The sequence below is a fragment of the Homo sapiens genome, chromosome 2, assembly GCF_000001405.40.
Source record: "Homo sapiens chromosome 2, GRCh38.p14 Primary Assembly".
NCBI classification, from domain to species: Eukaryota; Metazoa; Chordata; class Mammalia; order Primates; family Hominidae; genus Homo; species Homo sapiens.
In genome coordinates this window covers 113077293-113093991 of record NC_000002.12, presented here as the reverse complement: position 1 = coordinate 113093991, position 16699 = coordinate 113077293, and the positions used below count along the sequence as shown (strand labels likewise).

At 44.3% G+C, this 16699-nt stretch overlaps 1 pseudogene, besides 2 other annotated features; it reads right to left on the bottom strand.

Moving 5' to 3' along the window:
- Positions 5106–5400: an enhancer, noted in NCBI's record as "tiled region #10370; HepG2 Activating DNase matched - State 5:Enh". NCBI's record gives its function as "activates a minimal TATA promoter and a strong SV40 promoter by Sharpr-MPRA in HepG2 cells {active_cell/tissue: HepG2}" and the evidence as "EXISTENCE:reporter gene assay evidence [ECO:0000049][PMID:27701403]".
- Positions 7086–7185, bottom strand: RNU6-1180P (RNA, U6 small nuclear 1180, pseudogene; annotated as a pseudogene).
- Positions 14923–16122: an enhancer, noted in NCBI's record as "P300/CBP strongly-dependent group 1 enhancer chr2:113835447-113836646 (GRCh37/hg19 assembly coordinates)". NCBI's record gives its function as "activates an origin of replication core promoter dependent on BRD2, BRD4, P300/CBP, MED14 and CDK7 cofactors, with strong dependence on P300/CBP, by STARR-seq in HCT116 cells {active_cell/tissue: HCT116}" and the evidence as "EXISTENCE:reporter gene assay evidence [ECO:0000049][PMID:35650434]".

The window sequence follows — 16699 nt, the reverse complement described above, 5'->3', positions numbered from 1 at the left end:
GCAAAAGTGAGCAATCTCTATTTAAAAATATGTGCAATTATACAGGCATTCGCAGTGTAGTGGCTTTTAAATTTTCTACCCATTAACTAAACATGCTTTCCATTTGGGGATGAATTCCACACTGGTCTCGTTTTGGTGGAAGACAGGGCTCTGCCTTCCATTTCATAACCAGAAAGAACCAACTACTCCCTTCCTCCTCCCTGATAGTGAGGAAAGTGTGGGCACATGAGCCTTTGCTTATAGGTCACATGGATGCTCTTACTGAAGACTTTGAATCTGAGGGAGTGAAGCAAGACACAAAAGGCATTGGATTACCTGTGGCAGTAGCTCCTATCCTGACCACTCACTTTATGAGTGAGCATTTTGATATCACAAAGCACCAAACAAGATCCAGAACATTGCAGGAGTCTGTCCAGGGTCACACAGCTATTGAAGAGTAGGGCTCATGGTGGGACAAGACCTCTCCTCCAAGCCCCATACTCTGTACTACATTCACTTGTAGAAGAGTATCAAGTTAGTCTCTGTGAGTCAGCCACCCTATGAGCACTGTCCCCAGATATGGTGATGCTAAGCTGGGCTCTAAGCTGCACGGTGGAAACCCAGAAAAGGAGCACAGGCTTCACTTGAGAAGAATGTGAGAGTGTTGGCTCAACTTTCCACCATGGGGATAAAGGTACACAAATTGCGTAGTGCCCCAGCATGGCCGGGGAGCAGGAGGGGAAACCACTCTACAAAGAGCTCTGGCTTATCCCTACTGACATACACAGACCATTTCTGGTTCCTACACCTCAGAAGACATGGAAGAGGTAGTACAGATGGTGGCTTGGCTACTCAATGTCTCTCTTAGCACCCACCCAACTCATTCCTGCAGTGCTTGGAAAGCTAAAACCCACATTTCTCAGACTCTCTCACAGCAAGAGTTCCAGATGTGACTTCAATTCTGCCAAGCAGATGCATTCTTGGCAGACTGACATTTGGAATACATTATTTAAATAGAGCCATCTATTTTCTTTTTTCTTTTTTTTTTTTTCAGACGAAGTCTCACTCTTGTCCTCCATGCTGGCATGCAATAGCGCAATCTTGGCTCACTGCAACCTTTGCCTCCCAGGTTCAAGGGCTTCTCCTGCCTCAGCCCCTCCGAGTAGCTGGGATTATAGGCATCTGCCACCATGCCCGGCTCATTTTTGTATTTTTAGTAGAGACAGGGTTTCACCATGTTGGCCAGGCTGGTCTAGAACTCCCGACCTCAGGTGATCCACCCACCTCGGCCTCCCAAAGTGCTGGGATTACAGGCGTGAGCCACCACGCCTGACCTAGAGCCATCTATTTCCTTACTGCATATTTTAGCAAGCACAGCATGCTTCAGGAGGTAACTTTCTGATCTCCGGATTATAGGTAAAGCCGTATTTTTCTGGAGCCAACAGCTGTGTGATCCCTGCACTGGGCCCCAGTGCCGTGTTGCTGGAGCCAGCAGTGTAGCAGCATTTTCCTGATTGTGACAGAGATGATGGCTCTCCAGCAAGCCAGTTTTACAGTGTCCCTCTGGGAATTATTCCTGGATGTCCAGTCAAAAGCCCATTCCTGTGGTCCTCCAGCTGACTCTGTAAGAACCAAATTCTTTATATGGAAACATTTTCCCATTAAACTAGCTAGGGTACTTCCTATAGTCTTTCACTGAATCCCAACAAATTAACCAACATTTCACCCTTTTGCATACCTCTCTGCTTGTGCGCGTTCTTGGCTGTGTCTAAAAATCCCCTTGCCCTTACTCTGCCTGGATAACTCTTCCCTTTACCTCAACAGTTGGCCCAAACATCTCCTCTTCTTTGAAGACTGTACTGCCTATTTAGTATAGGATTTAAAGTTAGTTATTGCTCCTCTTCATTCCCATAGTCTACATTTTTCTCCCTTTCCCTCTTCCTCCCCCTCTTCCTCCCTTCCTTCTTCCCTTCCTTTTCTTTTCCTTTCTTCTTTCTTCCCTTTCTTCCTTTCATTCTTTCTCCCTTTTTTCATGTATTCATTTAACACACATTTATTGAGTATCCAGTACAAGTCAGTCACTGGAGATACAAACACACAGGGCACAGTTCTGCCCTTGAACTACCTACAGATTCATGGAAGAGGCTCACAATTAACATGCCATTTGGCAAGTGTTATGCTGGGGGCGATCCAGTGTCTCGTGGCTGCTGAGAAAAAGCTGCAGAGCTACACATGGTTTCCAAGAGGGGTTGAGTTTTCAGCTGATCTCTGAAATGTGAGAAAATTAACCAGGGAAGTAGAAGAGGAAGGATTTTCCAAACAGAAGTTGAGATACAAGTTCTGTGCAAAGACAGAACTTGTGAGAGATGACAGCATCCTGGAGAATCTTTAAGAACCTCATAATCATAATGGCTGTTATTAAATTTGCTGCATGTACAAGAATCCGGAAGGGCAATGGAGAAATGACCTGAAGATTGGCAAGGCCCAGAATCTGAGGAGCCTTTTCTGTGCTACAAACATGTGGGGAGCCATTGAAGAAAAGGCAGGGTGCCATCCCTATGTAGCAATGTGGACCTGCTTTAGAACAAAGCAAGACTGGGAATTCCCATTTGGGAGCCCCTCTGTCTCGCAAGAGAGAGCCATTCTCCTTTCTCTTCCTTTTTCCTATTAAACCTCTGCTCCTAAACAAAACAAAACAAAAAAAAAATGGAGGCAAGACTTTGTGGTAAGGAGACTAGCTGGGAGGTTGTTCAGTGACCTACAGATAAGGAGACAAGAGTCTAACCCACAGTGCTGACCGTGAGGATGGAGAGAAAACCCTAGAAATGTTTAGGAGGTAGACTCAATAGGACCTAGTAACTACTAAATATGGGAAGTGACTATTGAATGTAGAAGGGATCAAGGGTATTATTATTTAAAGGCTTAGATAACTGGCGGGCAGCAATAGCATCATTCATTGAGAAAGATGATACAAGAGGTGGAGGAACAGATTGATTCTAAGGGTAGTCAGGGAGACGGTTAATTCCATTTGAGTTGTGTTGTGTTTGAGATGCAGATGGGATGCTAAATGGAGTGTCCAGTTGGAAACTGGATGTACAAACCTGGAAGCTAGAAGAGAAAAATGCACTAAAGATAAAGATCTGTCAGTTATGGTTGAAGCTTGGAGATGCCTGAAGGAGAGAATGTGGAGTAAAGGGAAACCCAACATTTACATTATTTTGTAGCGTCATTCAAAAAAATTATCTCTTCTTCCTGCTGGGTGAATTATAACATTATTTTTATCTTTAAGTCTCCATTTTTTACAATAGTGTCTTGAATATAATGAGAGCTCAAAAGGTGGGAATAAATGAGGTATCAATGAATTAATTTGGTCATTTTAAAAAGGAAAAACTTTAACTGTAACTAGAAAATAATATCTTCCTCTTGATCTCAAGAAGAGGCACATGTTAGGAGAGAATCAGGAAAGTGGACTGTAGGATATGTGATAAAGAAAAAACACACAAGGAGGGCACCAATCTGAGCCTGAGTGGCATTTCCAATGCAGTGGCCAATCAGAGCATCAGAGAGAATCACAGGAGCCCAGATACTGACCTTGAGGCCACTTGGAATGAGGACTCTTTCCCAAATGCCCCCACTTCTCACCCTTCCCAAATGCCCCCACTTCTCACCCCAGTCGGTTATAGCTCTATCCCCTCAGCATTGTTCCTGGTCTTCCTCTAATGTTATTTGGAGATGTATTAAGAATGTACATGTCTTATGTTTACTAACCATGAGTGAAATAAAACTTCCCTTTCTTTGCCCTAAAAAAGTCTCCTCCAAGCTTCAATGAGTGTCATGTCTGAAGTGCTAGCCACTTCCCTTTGCTCAACCTGAGAATGCCATTCCTCTCTGAGCTGCATGCAAAGGGCCTCAAAGGCTTCCTCCAACCCTGATACAGCAAGTGTCTGCTTTGCTTTCCAGTGGTTCCCTGACCCATGGAGTCTGTGGGCAGGAGTTGCAATTGTCTGTTGCTGGCCCTGAGGTCATGCAGGTAGGAGAGATCTTGCACTGGTCACAGCTTTCCCTAAGGGGCCACAATGGGAATGAGTTGCTGTGAGAAACCCTGGCAGTGCTGCAAAATTACATGCATCACAGTGATGATTTGCAAAGCCCAGTGTGCTTTCCTCCATCTGCTATTCAGTAGAGCTATTTATTCTAGCAAGCATTAATACAATAAAATCTATCTAGGGTTACTGTCAACACAACTCCCACAGCACTCTCCATTTCCTTTGGAGAACACAATTTGTAGCAAACCTCCACTTTCTCTGCTCACCTTCACTGTTCATCTAATAGCAGATATTTTTTCTGCACAGCCTGTATCACTATCCAAATTTATATTGAGTATGTATTTGCTCAGGCATTTATTCTCTGTCTCCTACCGCTAGAATGTAAATTCCTTACTATGTGTTATTCACAGATGCATCTCAACGCCCAAAACAGTATCATGCACAGAGCAGGTGCTTGATAGTTACTTTTTAAATGAATAAACCTATCTATTTTTTTCCATTCTCTTTTCTAACTGTTTTCTCAATTTGTGCCTTGGCGGAGACCTGGCTATCCTCTGGGACCATGTTTGCCCTGCATCTTTCTCAAGGAGAAGAAGCTCATGCCCCTACCATCTGGATATCACAGGGCCAGCATGGGGTCATCTCTCTACTGACATTTTCAGATTGTGACTTCTCCAGCCTTTGTAAAACAAAACAAAAACAAAAACAAACAAAAGCATCAGTCCTTTAACGTTTTTACCATCCTATATCTCTCTTTGTAGCTTTCAGCTACTGACTGCCTAGTCATTCTCCCCTATTTATTAAATATTTGTCACTGGAACCTAGCTCTCTTCTTTGTCCTAATCCCCAAGGGGTCTTAATGTCCATTTGGATGACTAACACCATGACCTTTCTGTAAAAATTACTATACTACCCTCTGACCACAACCGATAGCAGTCTTGTTCTCTCTCTCTCTCTTTCTCATTCTTCATTATTCCCATTGCTCAGGCATTTCAACCACACAGAAACCTTCCATCCTTTAACCTGCTCAAATTTGCTCTACCACCTCCTCCTTGGAGGTCTTCACTTCCTTCAGTTGCTCACTTGGACCATTCTTTCATCAATATTCTCCACTGTTTGGCTCCTTTGCCCTCCCATTGCACTGTGTGGAAAGCTCTGGATCTGTCCAAGGTCCACCCTCCCAGACTAACCCAAAGCCACTGCCCCACACTGATGATATCCAAAACTAACTGGCCCCATGTTTGCTTAGCAAACCTTTCATGTTTCTATAATGAGCTGGCTGACCCATCTCCACAGAAAATATTTCCAGCCTACTCCACTGACTTCAATCTCCTAGCCCATCTCCTTTTTCCTCACTTATAGCAAAGTAATAGAAGCTAGGAGAAGGACACTTTCTCAGTTCCCCATTAGCCCACATTAAAACCTATTGAAACTTTCTTTATGCTTTCTCTCTTCTCTCTCATTCAATAGAAGCAGGAGCCCACTCTTACCCAAGGCCAGTCCCTCTGCATTTGCTTTGTGTCCCATTCAGGCTCCTCAAGGCTCTCACATCATCAGTCATCCTCAGTCACTTAGTCATACCTCAGTGTGCCTGGCTCTGTGCTAAGGGCTTGGAGTGCATGAGTGAACCCAGTCTTCCCCATAGAAGCCTGTGAAGTGGTGGTTCTTATTACTGTTACACCCACTTTACTTAACCATGTTTACACAAAGGGGAAGAAAAATGCTCTATATTCTTTATCCCACTATTATTAAATGAAACTGCTTTTCGTTCTTATTTCATTTCGGCTGAGAAAATCTTAAGAGCCCAAAGGCCTGAGCTGTTGCTTATCATACAAATAATATCGCTTATAGTGCTTCTAGTCTTCAGAATTAACAAACAAACAAAAAGTTCTCTGATACAGGTGCCCCCACTCCCTCACAGCTTCAGTGGTTTTGCAACATAAACTTTTTCAAAGAATTCATCTGGGAGGCATTAAACTGAGAACAGCCGCAAGACTAGCACTTTTTTTCTGTGCATTATAAAGACCTGTACAAATACCCACTGCTGTCACCAACTTTTCTGTTTTTCTTTTTTTTTTTTTTTTTTTTTTGAGACGGAGTTTCATCCTATTGCCCAGCTGGAGTGCAGTGGCACGATCTCGGCTCAAACTTCGCCTCCCAGGTTCAAGTGATTCTTAAGCCTCAGCCTCCCGAGTAGTTGGGATTACAGGAACATGACACCAAGCCCTGTTAATTTTTGTATATTTAGTAGACACAGTGTTTTGCCATGTTGGCCAGGCTAGTCTCGAGCTCCTGACCTCGTGATCCACCCGCCTTGGCCTCCCGAAGTGCTGGGGTTACAGGCATGAGCCACTGCACCTGGCTGCCATCTCCAACTTTTCTGTTCCTAGTTAAAATAAATATGTCATTGCAAAGATTTGAACAAAAGAGGGATATATTATGAACGTACATTCCTTATGTTTATTAATCAGTGTAAGACACTGAAGATTTCAGAAAATGTTTCAAAGTACTGTAGAAACAACCCTGAAAATGAAACCTGTAATTTGTTATCTTAATTGGCAACTTGTTGCTGTTCTGATTTTAAAACATGCCCATGAATTCTTTGAGACTTTTCTCATTAAGAAGTGGAGTATGATTTTCCTCCCTTTGAATGCAGACTGACATTAGTGAATAGAACGAGGCAAAAGTTATGCTGAATGACTTCTGAAGCGAAGTCATCAAAAGTTATATAGTTTCTGCCTGACTCTCTCTCTCTCCTAGCCCTTACTCTTGAAACCCAGTTGCCATATTGTGGGGAAGCCCAGGTGTCATGAAGAGGCCAAGCAAAGGTGGTTTGGCCAACAGTCCCGCTGAGGTCCCAGCAGAGATCCAGCATCAATCTCCAGACCTGTGAGTAAGGCAGTCATCTGACCAGTCCAGTTCCCACCCTTAGACTCCTCTCAGTTGATGTTGAGTGGAGTGAAGACAAGATGTCCCTATGTCCCCACTGAATCCTGCCCAATTACAGAGTCACAAAGGAGAATAGGTATTTTCTTTTGTAAAAAAAAAAAAGTTATTTCTTATGGAGCGGTTTATGAATTTGCATGCCATCCTTGTGCAGGGGCCATGCTAAACCTCTCTGTATTGTTCCAATTTTAGTATATGTGCTGCCGAAGCGAGCGCAGATTAAATGATTTCTATTTTTAAGCCATTAAGTTTAAGGGTGGTTTATTCCACAGCAATAGATACATGAAACATAGATAAATAGATAAATGGAAATAATACTGAAAAAGTATTTTCATATTTTGAATGATATAAATTTTTAATGGTATAAATACTGAAAAGATTTATTGCTAATTCTAAAGAAGGTAACTGACACTTTTTTTTTTTGAGACAGAGTTTTGCTCTTGTTGTCCAGGTTGGAGTGCAATGGCATGATCTCGGCTCACTGCAATCTCCACCTGCCCAGCTCAAGTAATTCTCCTGCCTCAGCCTCCTGAGTAGCTGTGATTACAGGCATGTGCCAACGTGCCCACCTAATTTTGTATTTTTAGTAGAGACAGGGTTTCTCCATGTTGGTCAGGCTGGTCTCGAAATCCCCACCTCAGATGATCTGCCCACCTCGGCCTCCCACAGTGCTGGGATTACAGGTGTGAGCCACCGTGCCCAGCCTTTTTTTTTTTTTTTTTTTTTTTTGAGATGGTGTCTTGCTCTGTCACCCAGGCTGGGGTGCAGTGGCATGATCTCAGCTCACTACAACCTCTGCCTCCTGGGTTCAAGTGATTCTCCTGCATCTGCCTCCCTAGTAGCTGGGACTACAGGTGCATGCCACCATACACAGCTAACTTTTTATTTTTAATAGAGACGGGGTTTCACCAACATGGCCAGGCTGGTCTCGAACTCCTGACCTCAGGTGACCAGACCGCCTCAGCCTCCCAAAGTGCTGGGATTACAGGTGTGATCCACTGCGCCCAGCCAGACACTGACATTTTTCTTTGCTCCCGGATTCATTAGAAAATAAGAAAAGCATGACTCTCCTACACTTATAATTTTTTCAGTAATTTGAGTACATCAATTTCATTCTATTTTCTCTGATGAGAAATAACAGAGTGGAAATTTGAATCCAGGCAGGTTTGCTCGAGAGCTCATGCATGTACTCATACTGTAACCTCGCCCTGTTTTTTCCAACCTGTCCTTCACTGGCTCCTTCCTTCCTATCAGCTTTCACACTTGTTTAAACCTGCCACATCTTGACAGTTTCTTTCCTTAGCCCCATGACTCCCTCTAGCTACACCCTTCTCTTTCTCCTCCCCTTCACAGCCAAAGTTATTAAAATAATTCTCCCTACTCACTGTCTCTGTGTTCTCACTTTCCACTCACTCCTGAAGACCCTTCATCTTCACTTTTGCACAATCACTCTTCTGAAGGCACTCTGGAGTTTTTAGCTCCTAGATCCAGTGGACACTTTTCAAACTTTTCTGGACTTGATCTACTGTTAGCATCCGACACTGCTGGCTCTCGCCCTAAAGCCCTCTTATATAGACTTCCATGATTCCACTTCTCCTGATTTTCCTTCTGCCTCTCCAGGCCTCTCCTTCTAAACCTCCATAGAAGGCTTTTCATCTTCTGCCTGCCTCTCAAATATCTCTCTCTCCTGGGCCATCTCCTCTCTTAAACTAACCTCTCTCTTCATTTCATTCACCTCATAAGTTCATCTTCTTTGTGCTGAAAACTCTGAAATTTATATCTCCATTCCAAATTTCTCTCCTGCACTCCATATCTGCATATGTAACTGCCCACTGAAATCCTTTACCTGGATGCTCACATACACCTCAAAATTCAACATAGGCAAAAGCAGAGCTTATGATTTCCACACTCTCTGCTCCCAAACTACCACTTTCTTTTCCAGCATTGCTTATGTCAGTGAATAGAATCACCACCCATCAATAGAACCACCACTCATTAGTAGAGACACCTACCAATAGACACCAAAACAAGAAACCTTCACAATGACTCTCTCACTCTGCCTACAATAAACCACCAAAATCTATTAACTCTACCTCCCAAAGATGCCTTAAATCTATTAACTTCTCTCAAATCTCCTGCAGTTGAGAGATGATGAGTGTCTAACAATTCTTGAAGGAAACCACTTGAGTGGCTGTGCCAATAATCCATGCTCCAGTTGGCAGCCAGAAGCAACTATTTTAGGAGGTCAATCTGATCGTGTCACTCCCCTGCTTGAAATCATCCATGGTGACTCCATATTGCCCTCCTGATAAAGACCCGGCTTGTAGCTTGCCTTAATGGATTTCCTGATCTGGCTGTGCTCTTTGCTTTAACAACTTGTGGCTCCTTGGAGTGGATTAGCAACAGGCTGCCTGTTCTGATTTTATTCCCATCAGTTAGAAAGTTATTAGAAATGCTGGCCTTTTTTTTTTTTTAGTACAAGGCACTTTATAGCCAACTGTCATAATATTGTTATAGTAAATATTCAATTCTATGATATCAACATGTGAGTGGTGCCCTCTAGAGTTACACAGTGGAAACCCTGCATTTCTATATAAGGTGGCCCAATCATTTCATGTTCATTTATGAGAACAATCACGTGCTACATAATGAAGTTTCACTCAACGATGAACTGTCTACACAACGGTGGCCCTGTAAGATTATAATATCATATTTTTACTATATTTTTCTATGCTTGCATATGTTTAAATATACACATCATTACCATCATGTTACAGTTGCCTGCAGTATTCAGTACAGTCACATGTTGTACGGGATTATAGCCTAGGGGCAAGAGGTTATACCATATAGTCTAGGTGTGTAGTAGGCTGTACCATCTAGGTTTGTGTAAGTACACTCTGTGATATTCACACAACAAAATCGCCTAATGACACATTTCTTAGACTGTATCTCTGTCCTTTTGTGAGGCAAGACTCTATCTAGAAATAAAAATGCCAAGGCCCCATCCCCTTAGGAGCTCACAGTCTGGTGCCATATAAGAACACCGATAAAGGGGTAAATGTCTACCTACTGCCAGCAGGGTGTGCAGGGAGTAGGAATGGGCTCTGCCACACCTATATTCTCTTGTCAGGATCTCTTCAGAGCAAGAGCTCCCATCCCTTTGGTCAAGTGATTGTCCAGGCCCAGAAGGTACCATCTATATGGTACAACAAAGCTGTACCAAAGGACAACACCTTATGGAAGAGGACCCAACCTCCAGAACAGGGAAGGAAGCATCATCTACCTTGAACACTCACCCCCAAAAAACATATTCTTAACTCCATACTAGACAGCCCTGGGCAAAGCATCTCCCACCCCTACTGGATTCCAAACCTTTGGTGTCTCTGTCTCTTGTGTTAGGAGGGGATGTGAACTCTCTGAGCCAAACTTCCCTGAATTTGCATGCGTGGTCACCTACTTTGCCTCCCCGCCAGGGTGTAGGGGTAATGACTGATGAGCAGCCTCTCATAATGAGGAATGAGGATGATTTTCCATGACCTCCTATGACTAACGCACACGAGCAGAGAGTGACAGAGAGGGTCAGAATTTGGCGCATGGTTCCATATAGGAAAGTCAAAGTTTGATTTTCAACTTCCTGTTTTAGTTATTCCCTTTTTTGTCATAAGAACATAAACGTACCAAGCGTCACGTTCCCTGATTGGGATCTAAATTCTGTGGGTCTGACTTGCGACTTACAACAGGGGGCTTTATTTTTAACTCATGTGACAAGCACATGTTACAGGTGGTGGTAGTAAGGAGGGATTCTGCCTATTCAGCATCAGTGGCAGAAATGGACGTGGAAGAAGTGACGTTCTGTAGAGGCTGGAGATCCTCAGACTCTTCATAAGAATAACCCACAGGCTGCCTAGAAATTCAGCTTTCTAGGCTCAGCTCCACAATTTTGCAATTTTGTATTAGCCAGTAAGGGGTAGAGTCCCAGAAATCTTCATTTTTAACTAGCATTTCAGCTGATCCTGATATAAGTGGTTAAGATAATTTGAGAGCCTCTGGTTTCCTGACAGTACATTTTTAACATAGTAAGCATGCAAATATATAATGTCAGCAGCATCCTCTGAGTTGATGTAAAGGGGCAGGCCATGGAGATAATCTTGGATTTGGGTCAGGCTACTCTTGGGAATATCGGATAAAACATTTGTTGATATTCCTCTCAGCTTGCCTAAGAATCATTCAAAGCCATTGATTAAGCTCTCACTGTTGCCCAACATTGAATTCAGGGCTTGGGAGGGCATGAAGGAATGAGGAGTAGTGTGTGAACCTGAGAAGGCTAGGAAGTCAAACCTTACACATAGCCCCTGGCACAGAAGCTAAGCCTTAAGCCTGTCCTTGCTTCTCCCAGTTTACTTGCCACAGACTGGGACTCCAGCTGGGCTTCACCTTCCTCTGGAAGACATTCCAAGGGCTGACCCTCTCCCTTGGGTTCCTAGTTAGCATTAAAACCACAGAGCAAGATGAAGAAGATTTGAGAGAGCTTGGCTAAGGCTGGCTTTCTCATCTTCCTTAGGAGCACCAAATCTTGGACCCCATTCAATTCTGTATGCCCCCTGCCCAGTTCTGCACTTGAACATTGCAGGTGGTCAGTAACATTTGATGAAAGAATGAATGAATGAATTGCTGGCTACACAGCCATGTCAGAGTTTCTCATGGAGGCAGCATAGCATGATGGTCAGGAGTGCACATTCACGAATCAGTCAGCCTGTGCTTTACCCCCTCCTCTTCCATTTGTTTACAGTGACTTTGGGCACAGATTCTTTGCAGATCTTCCCCTTCAGAGGAAGAATCCATTTCTCTACCCACGTCTCCATAAATCAGGGCTGGCCTTGGGACTTGCTTAGACCAACAGGCTATGCTAGGAGTGAATAACATGAGGCAGGTTATGACAAAGTGCTTCTGACATTGGCTGGGAGCCCCAGTATCCCATCCACCCTCACCAGCTCCACTTCTGGGGACTAGACCCTTTCTCCACTACTCCCACCCACTGCCACAGTCCTTCCTGACAAATGTGAGTTTTGGACCCTAGGCCTCAAGAGCATTTGCAGCTTCTACCTTTCCCTTTTTGAGAAGCAACACTAAGATAGCCATGTAAGAAAGTCATTCCAGTTTACTGGAGGATGGGAGGACACATGAATAGCCAAGGCCCCCAACCAACAGCCAGCACCAACAGCCAGACATGGGAGAGACTATCTTGGACTTTCCAGCTGAGTTGAGCCTCCAGCTGAGTGCAACAGAGCCCTGGCAAGATCAGCAGAGGAACCACCTAGTCAACTCACAGAATCAGAAGGAATAATGAATCACTGATGTTTTAAATCACTGCATTGTGGGTTGGTTCGTTACTCAGCAATAGATAACTGAGACACCATGCAAAGTGATTCAGATATTGACTGGAAACCCTGATATCCTGTCCACCCCTCACCAGCCCTCCTTCTGGAGACTAGACCCTCTTCCCACTACTCCCACCTGATGCCACAGTCTTTCCTAATAAATCTGGACAGGGGCCCTGGTGCTAGTCTCTGCAGAGCATGACCTCTAAGTAGGACCCTTTTGGGAATCCTATTTGAGTTCTTTTCTTCATTCAGCAAATGTTGCTGAGTGCTTGACACGTCATAAATGCTTGTACATGCTGGTAATACATAAACAAGGCAAAAAGAAAATCCTCTGCCCGTGGATCTTGCATTCTAGTGGAGGATAAAGGAAAAAAAGTACAGTAAATAAAAAATAAATTATAGAGTGTATTAGAATGTGATAGTACCATAGGTAATCTAAGGGTGCTGAGATTTGAGGGGGTGCATATTGCAGTTTTCACGGGGGTAACCAGCGTAGGCCTCACTGAGGAAACAAGCCAGGCAGGTAATTGGGGAACAAGTGTTCAAAACACAAGGCTACTGCTGGAGCTCTGGAGTAGCATCGTGCCTAGAGTGTGTCTTTGGAGAATTGTGAGGAGACCAGTGTCTGAAGCAGAGGGTGTGAACAGGGAGAGGCATGTGGAAGAAGGTATCAAAAATAACACATTTTCTCACATAAACCTATGAGCACTCATTGGAATGTGTGCACTGGAACCAGTCTACAAAATGCATAACTAGCTGATACCTACGTCTGCTGTCCTTTATGCAGACAAACTTACATAACCAGTGCTATTTTTTGTATCATGGGTCCTGTGACTATGGACCTTCAGAAAATGTCTGTGAGAAATATTCCAGTATGGAAGAGCCTCTGCTAGAACTCAAGGCTCCCAGCATCCTTTGTCACCCAATTCTGTGACCAGAGCCTGGGCAAGAACATCCAAGGGAATTGGAGGGAATGAGTGTACAGGAGACAGATTCACAGCAACGTCTCTGTCATGGGGAGAAGGGATCAAGCATTCGTGTGATGCTCCTTCACATAGGTGGGAAAAATGTCGAAATGAGTATGTGTCTAATATCTACCTTCCCTCCTAAGCTCCAAACTCCTAGAGAGCAGGGGCTGTGTCCCTCGTGACAAGGGGGAGCTAACAAAAATTGTTACCCAACAGAATGGACACCCGGACTTCCTGAAGTCATCACAGGATCCAGTTCTACTCTCACGCATTGCGTGGAAGGATGCATCTACTGTAAGTGAGGCGGGGATTTGAGGCACAAGGGCTGACACACAGTAGCTGCTAAGTATTTGAAGAATTAAATGTTAGAGCTCATTCAGAACCTAGCCCCAAAAAGGCAGCGCCAACATTGATCTCTGTCGCCATCTTTAGCCCAAAGGCCACACTGCAGGCTCCCAGCCTCAGAAATGGGCAGGGGGATCAAGCCTCTAGATAGCGTGGAGTCTGTGCCTTTGAGGGCGGAGATTGGAATCTGCTCTGGGGATAGACTGTGTTTTGGTAGAATTCTGGTGAACCCTTTTAGTTATGCAAATGTAAAATCCAACCAGAAATAAGGTCAGGTAAACCGAATGCCAGTGCTTCAGTCCAAGATGTTAACTTTACTGTTTATATTCATTACACTTGTTTCTGTCAAGTTCATTTATGAAGTAGCTGTATATTTTAGAGAATTATATCAAGGAAAAGTTAGTATCCATTAAAGTTGTCTGCATTTTCCTTCACTTTTACTGTTTCCTCCTTAAATCTGAGTTTAGATTTCCCTAGAACTGACATGAGTTGTGTGTCCTGCGGAGTTTTCTGTACAATGTTTTGAGCCGGTATTCCTAGGGGCTATTGTGATGCGAGAGGTGGGCCTAGGATCGCGAGATGAAAATTTGGGTCAAAGGGAAGAGTGACTAGATTCTGAATCCTGGTGGAATGACTTAGGAAACACAGGTTATAGGAGACCCTGGGTTCATCGCCCTCTTGTGTGAAGTTGTTCCATAGCTTCTTGGAACAAAGACTAGGCCCCCTGTGAATCAACTGCTGCCTACATCTGGAGTCTCTTGTAAGCACGTATGCACACACAGCACACACATACACATACATGGACACGTCATGCACATACAGACACACACATTCACCCTCCCCACCCACCCTGCTCCTGGTGCTACCTGACCGAAAGCTGGCCACACTGTGTTTAATTGCCTGTTTGCTCTCTCTCTGGACCTACCAGTTCATTCTGAGATGTAAATAGTGGATAAGACCTAAAGTGTACCTCTCCCTAGAATTCACATAATAATAACCCTCTAGCCTGGTTAGGTTTTGGAGTGAAGACTTTGGTGTGGTTTCTAGGGAGGAGAAGGAATTTAAGGAATGAGCCTTGGGGCGTGGGAGAAGAATACTCTTGGCATCGCTGAACTGCACCTGTCAGAAATTGCCTCCATTCCTTACTTTTAAACCCTAGTGCCAGAAAGTCCCATCACTATTTCTACCACAGTCCTGCAGAATTTGATTCTAAGTGCTATTTGGAGTGTCTTGCAGTCAATAAATATGAGCTTTTATTCACAAGGTCTGGTTTTCCCATCTGCACTATGTGTCCTTCAGTCATAGAGACATGTCTTCTAAGTCTTTATGTCCTCTTCCTCTTCTGTGCACTGTTAGAGAATTGGCATATTTTACATGTGAAAATTTTTTTTAGTTATATAGAGAACATGATTCAACTTGGAACAGCACCACTAGTAAGTAGGAGGAGGCCTGCATTTGCCTGGGTGGTCCATGGGCACAGTTCACAAGGGAAGGGCCAGCAGAAATGAGTTACCATGTGTTAAAATAATTAATTGGGAAGGTATTAGGCTGAGATGACTCCAGCGTGTTGGGTTCCTGCCTAAGTAAACTAAAACCCAACCCAGAGTGAATGGTCATTGACTAAGAAAACGAAACTTAAGCTTAGCCAATCAGGAACCGCCGACTAACCTGCAACTAAGGATTTTCCACTTAACCAATGAATTTTTTTCTTCCTTTTGCTTCCTGAACAACTTATAAATGGTTTTCCGGTAGCCCCTGGGTGGAGCCCTGAATCACTTGCAATTTGGCACCTTGTGATTCATGAATCATTCTCTGCTCAAATAAACTCCTTAAAATTTTAATATGCCAAAGTTTGTCTTTCAACACATGCATGAAGGTGATGAACTGGTCAGGGAAGATGAAGCAGGGGTCAGGCTGACTGTGAAATCACAGCATGGAAGCTGACCCCGGGGCAGTGCTAAACAGAAGTCAGGGAGGGAGAAGGGGAGGGAGGGGGTGGCTGAGAAGAGCTGAGGACCCAGTAGCATCTGTGTTGGCCCAGTGCTGATCTGAGGGGCCCAGGATTAAAATCTGGGTCCTGCCTGAAATACCTGGATGATTCCTTGGGGCCTCCCAGATAAAAACTCCTTCACAAGGCATTAGCAATCAGGAGCCACCCATCTTCTCATGTGAATTTGCAGCCACTCCTCAGTCCAAGCCCTGGGTCCCAGCCACATTGATGACTCACCTCAGATGTGCTGGGAGCTCTTCTCCATCATCACACCTTCCTGAGCAGTTTTTCTGCCTGGGATGCCCATCCCTGCGTTCTCTGCCTGGAAAACACCTGCTTTTTCTCTGAGGCCCAGATTATATGCTCTTTCTTCTGTGAAGCCCTGCCCAGCCCTCCCTGCCAGCTCCACCTCTAGGCTACAATGGTGTCTCTACCTGGTACCATAGCTCTTCTCACACAGTATGATGAATGTCCCATAAGAACCAAGTGATTGGCCAGATGTAGCAGCTCACACCTGTAATCCCAACACTTTGGGTGGCTGAGGTGGGAAGATCACCTGAGCCCAGGAGTTCAAGACCAGCCTGGGCAACATGACGAGAGCCAGTCTCTACAAAAAATTAAAAAAAACCTAGCTGGGCATGGTGATGCATGCCTGTGGTCCCAGCTACTCAAGAGGCTGAGGCAGAGAATGGCTTGATCCAGGAGGTCAAGGCTGCAGTGAGCCATGATTGCACCACTGTACTCCAGCCTGGGTGATAGAGCAAGACCCTGTCCTGAGGAGGAGGAGGAGGAGGAGGAGAAGGAGGAGGAGGAGGAGAAGGAGAAGAAGGAGGAGGAGGAGGAAGAAGAAGAGGAGGAAGAGGAGGAGGAGAGGAGGAAGAAGAGGAAGAAGAAGAAGAGGAAGAAGAAGAAGAAGAAGGGGAGGAGGAGGAGGAGGAATAGGAATCAAGTGTGATTATCCATTAACTTGTTTAAGATTTTGCATTTACTCAGCCTCTTCTGCATTTACCAGCAGCTGTTCTGGCCACAGCTGACATAAAATTG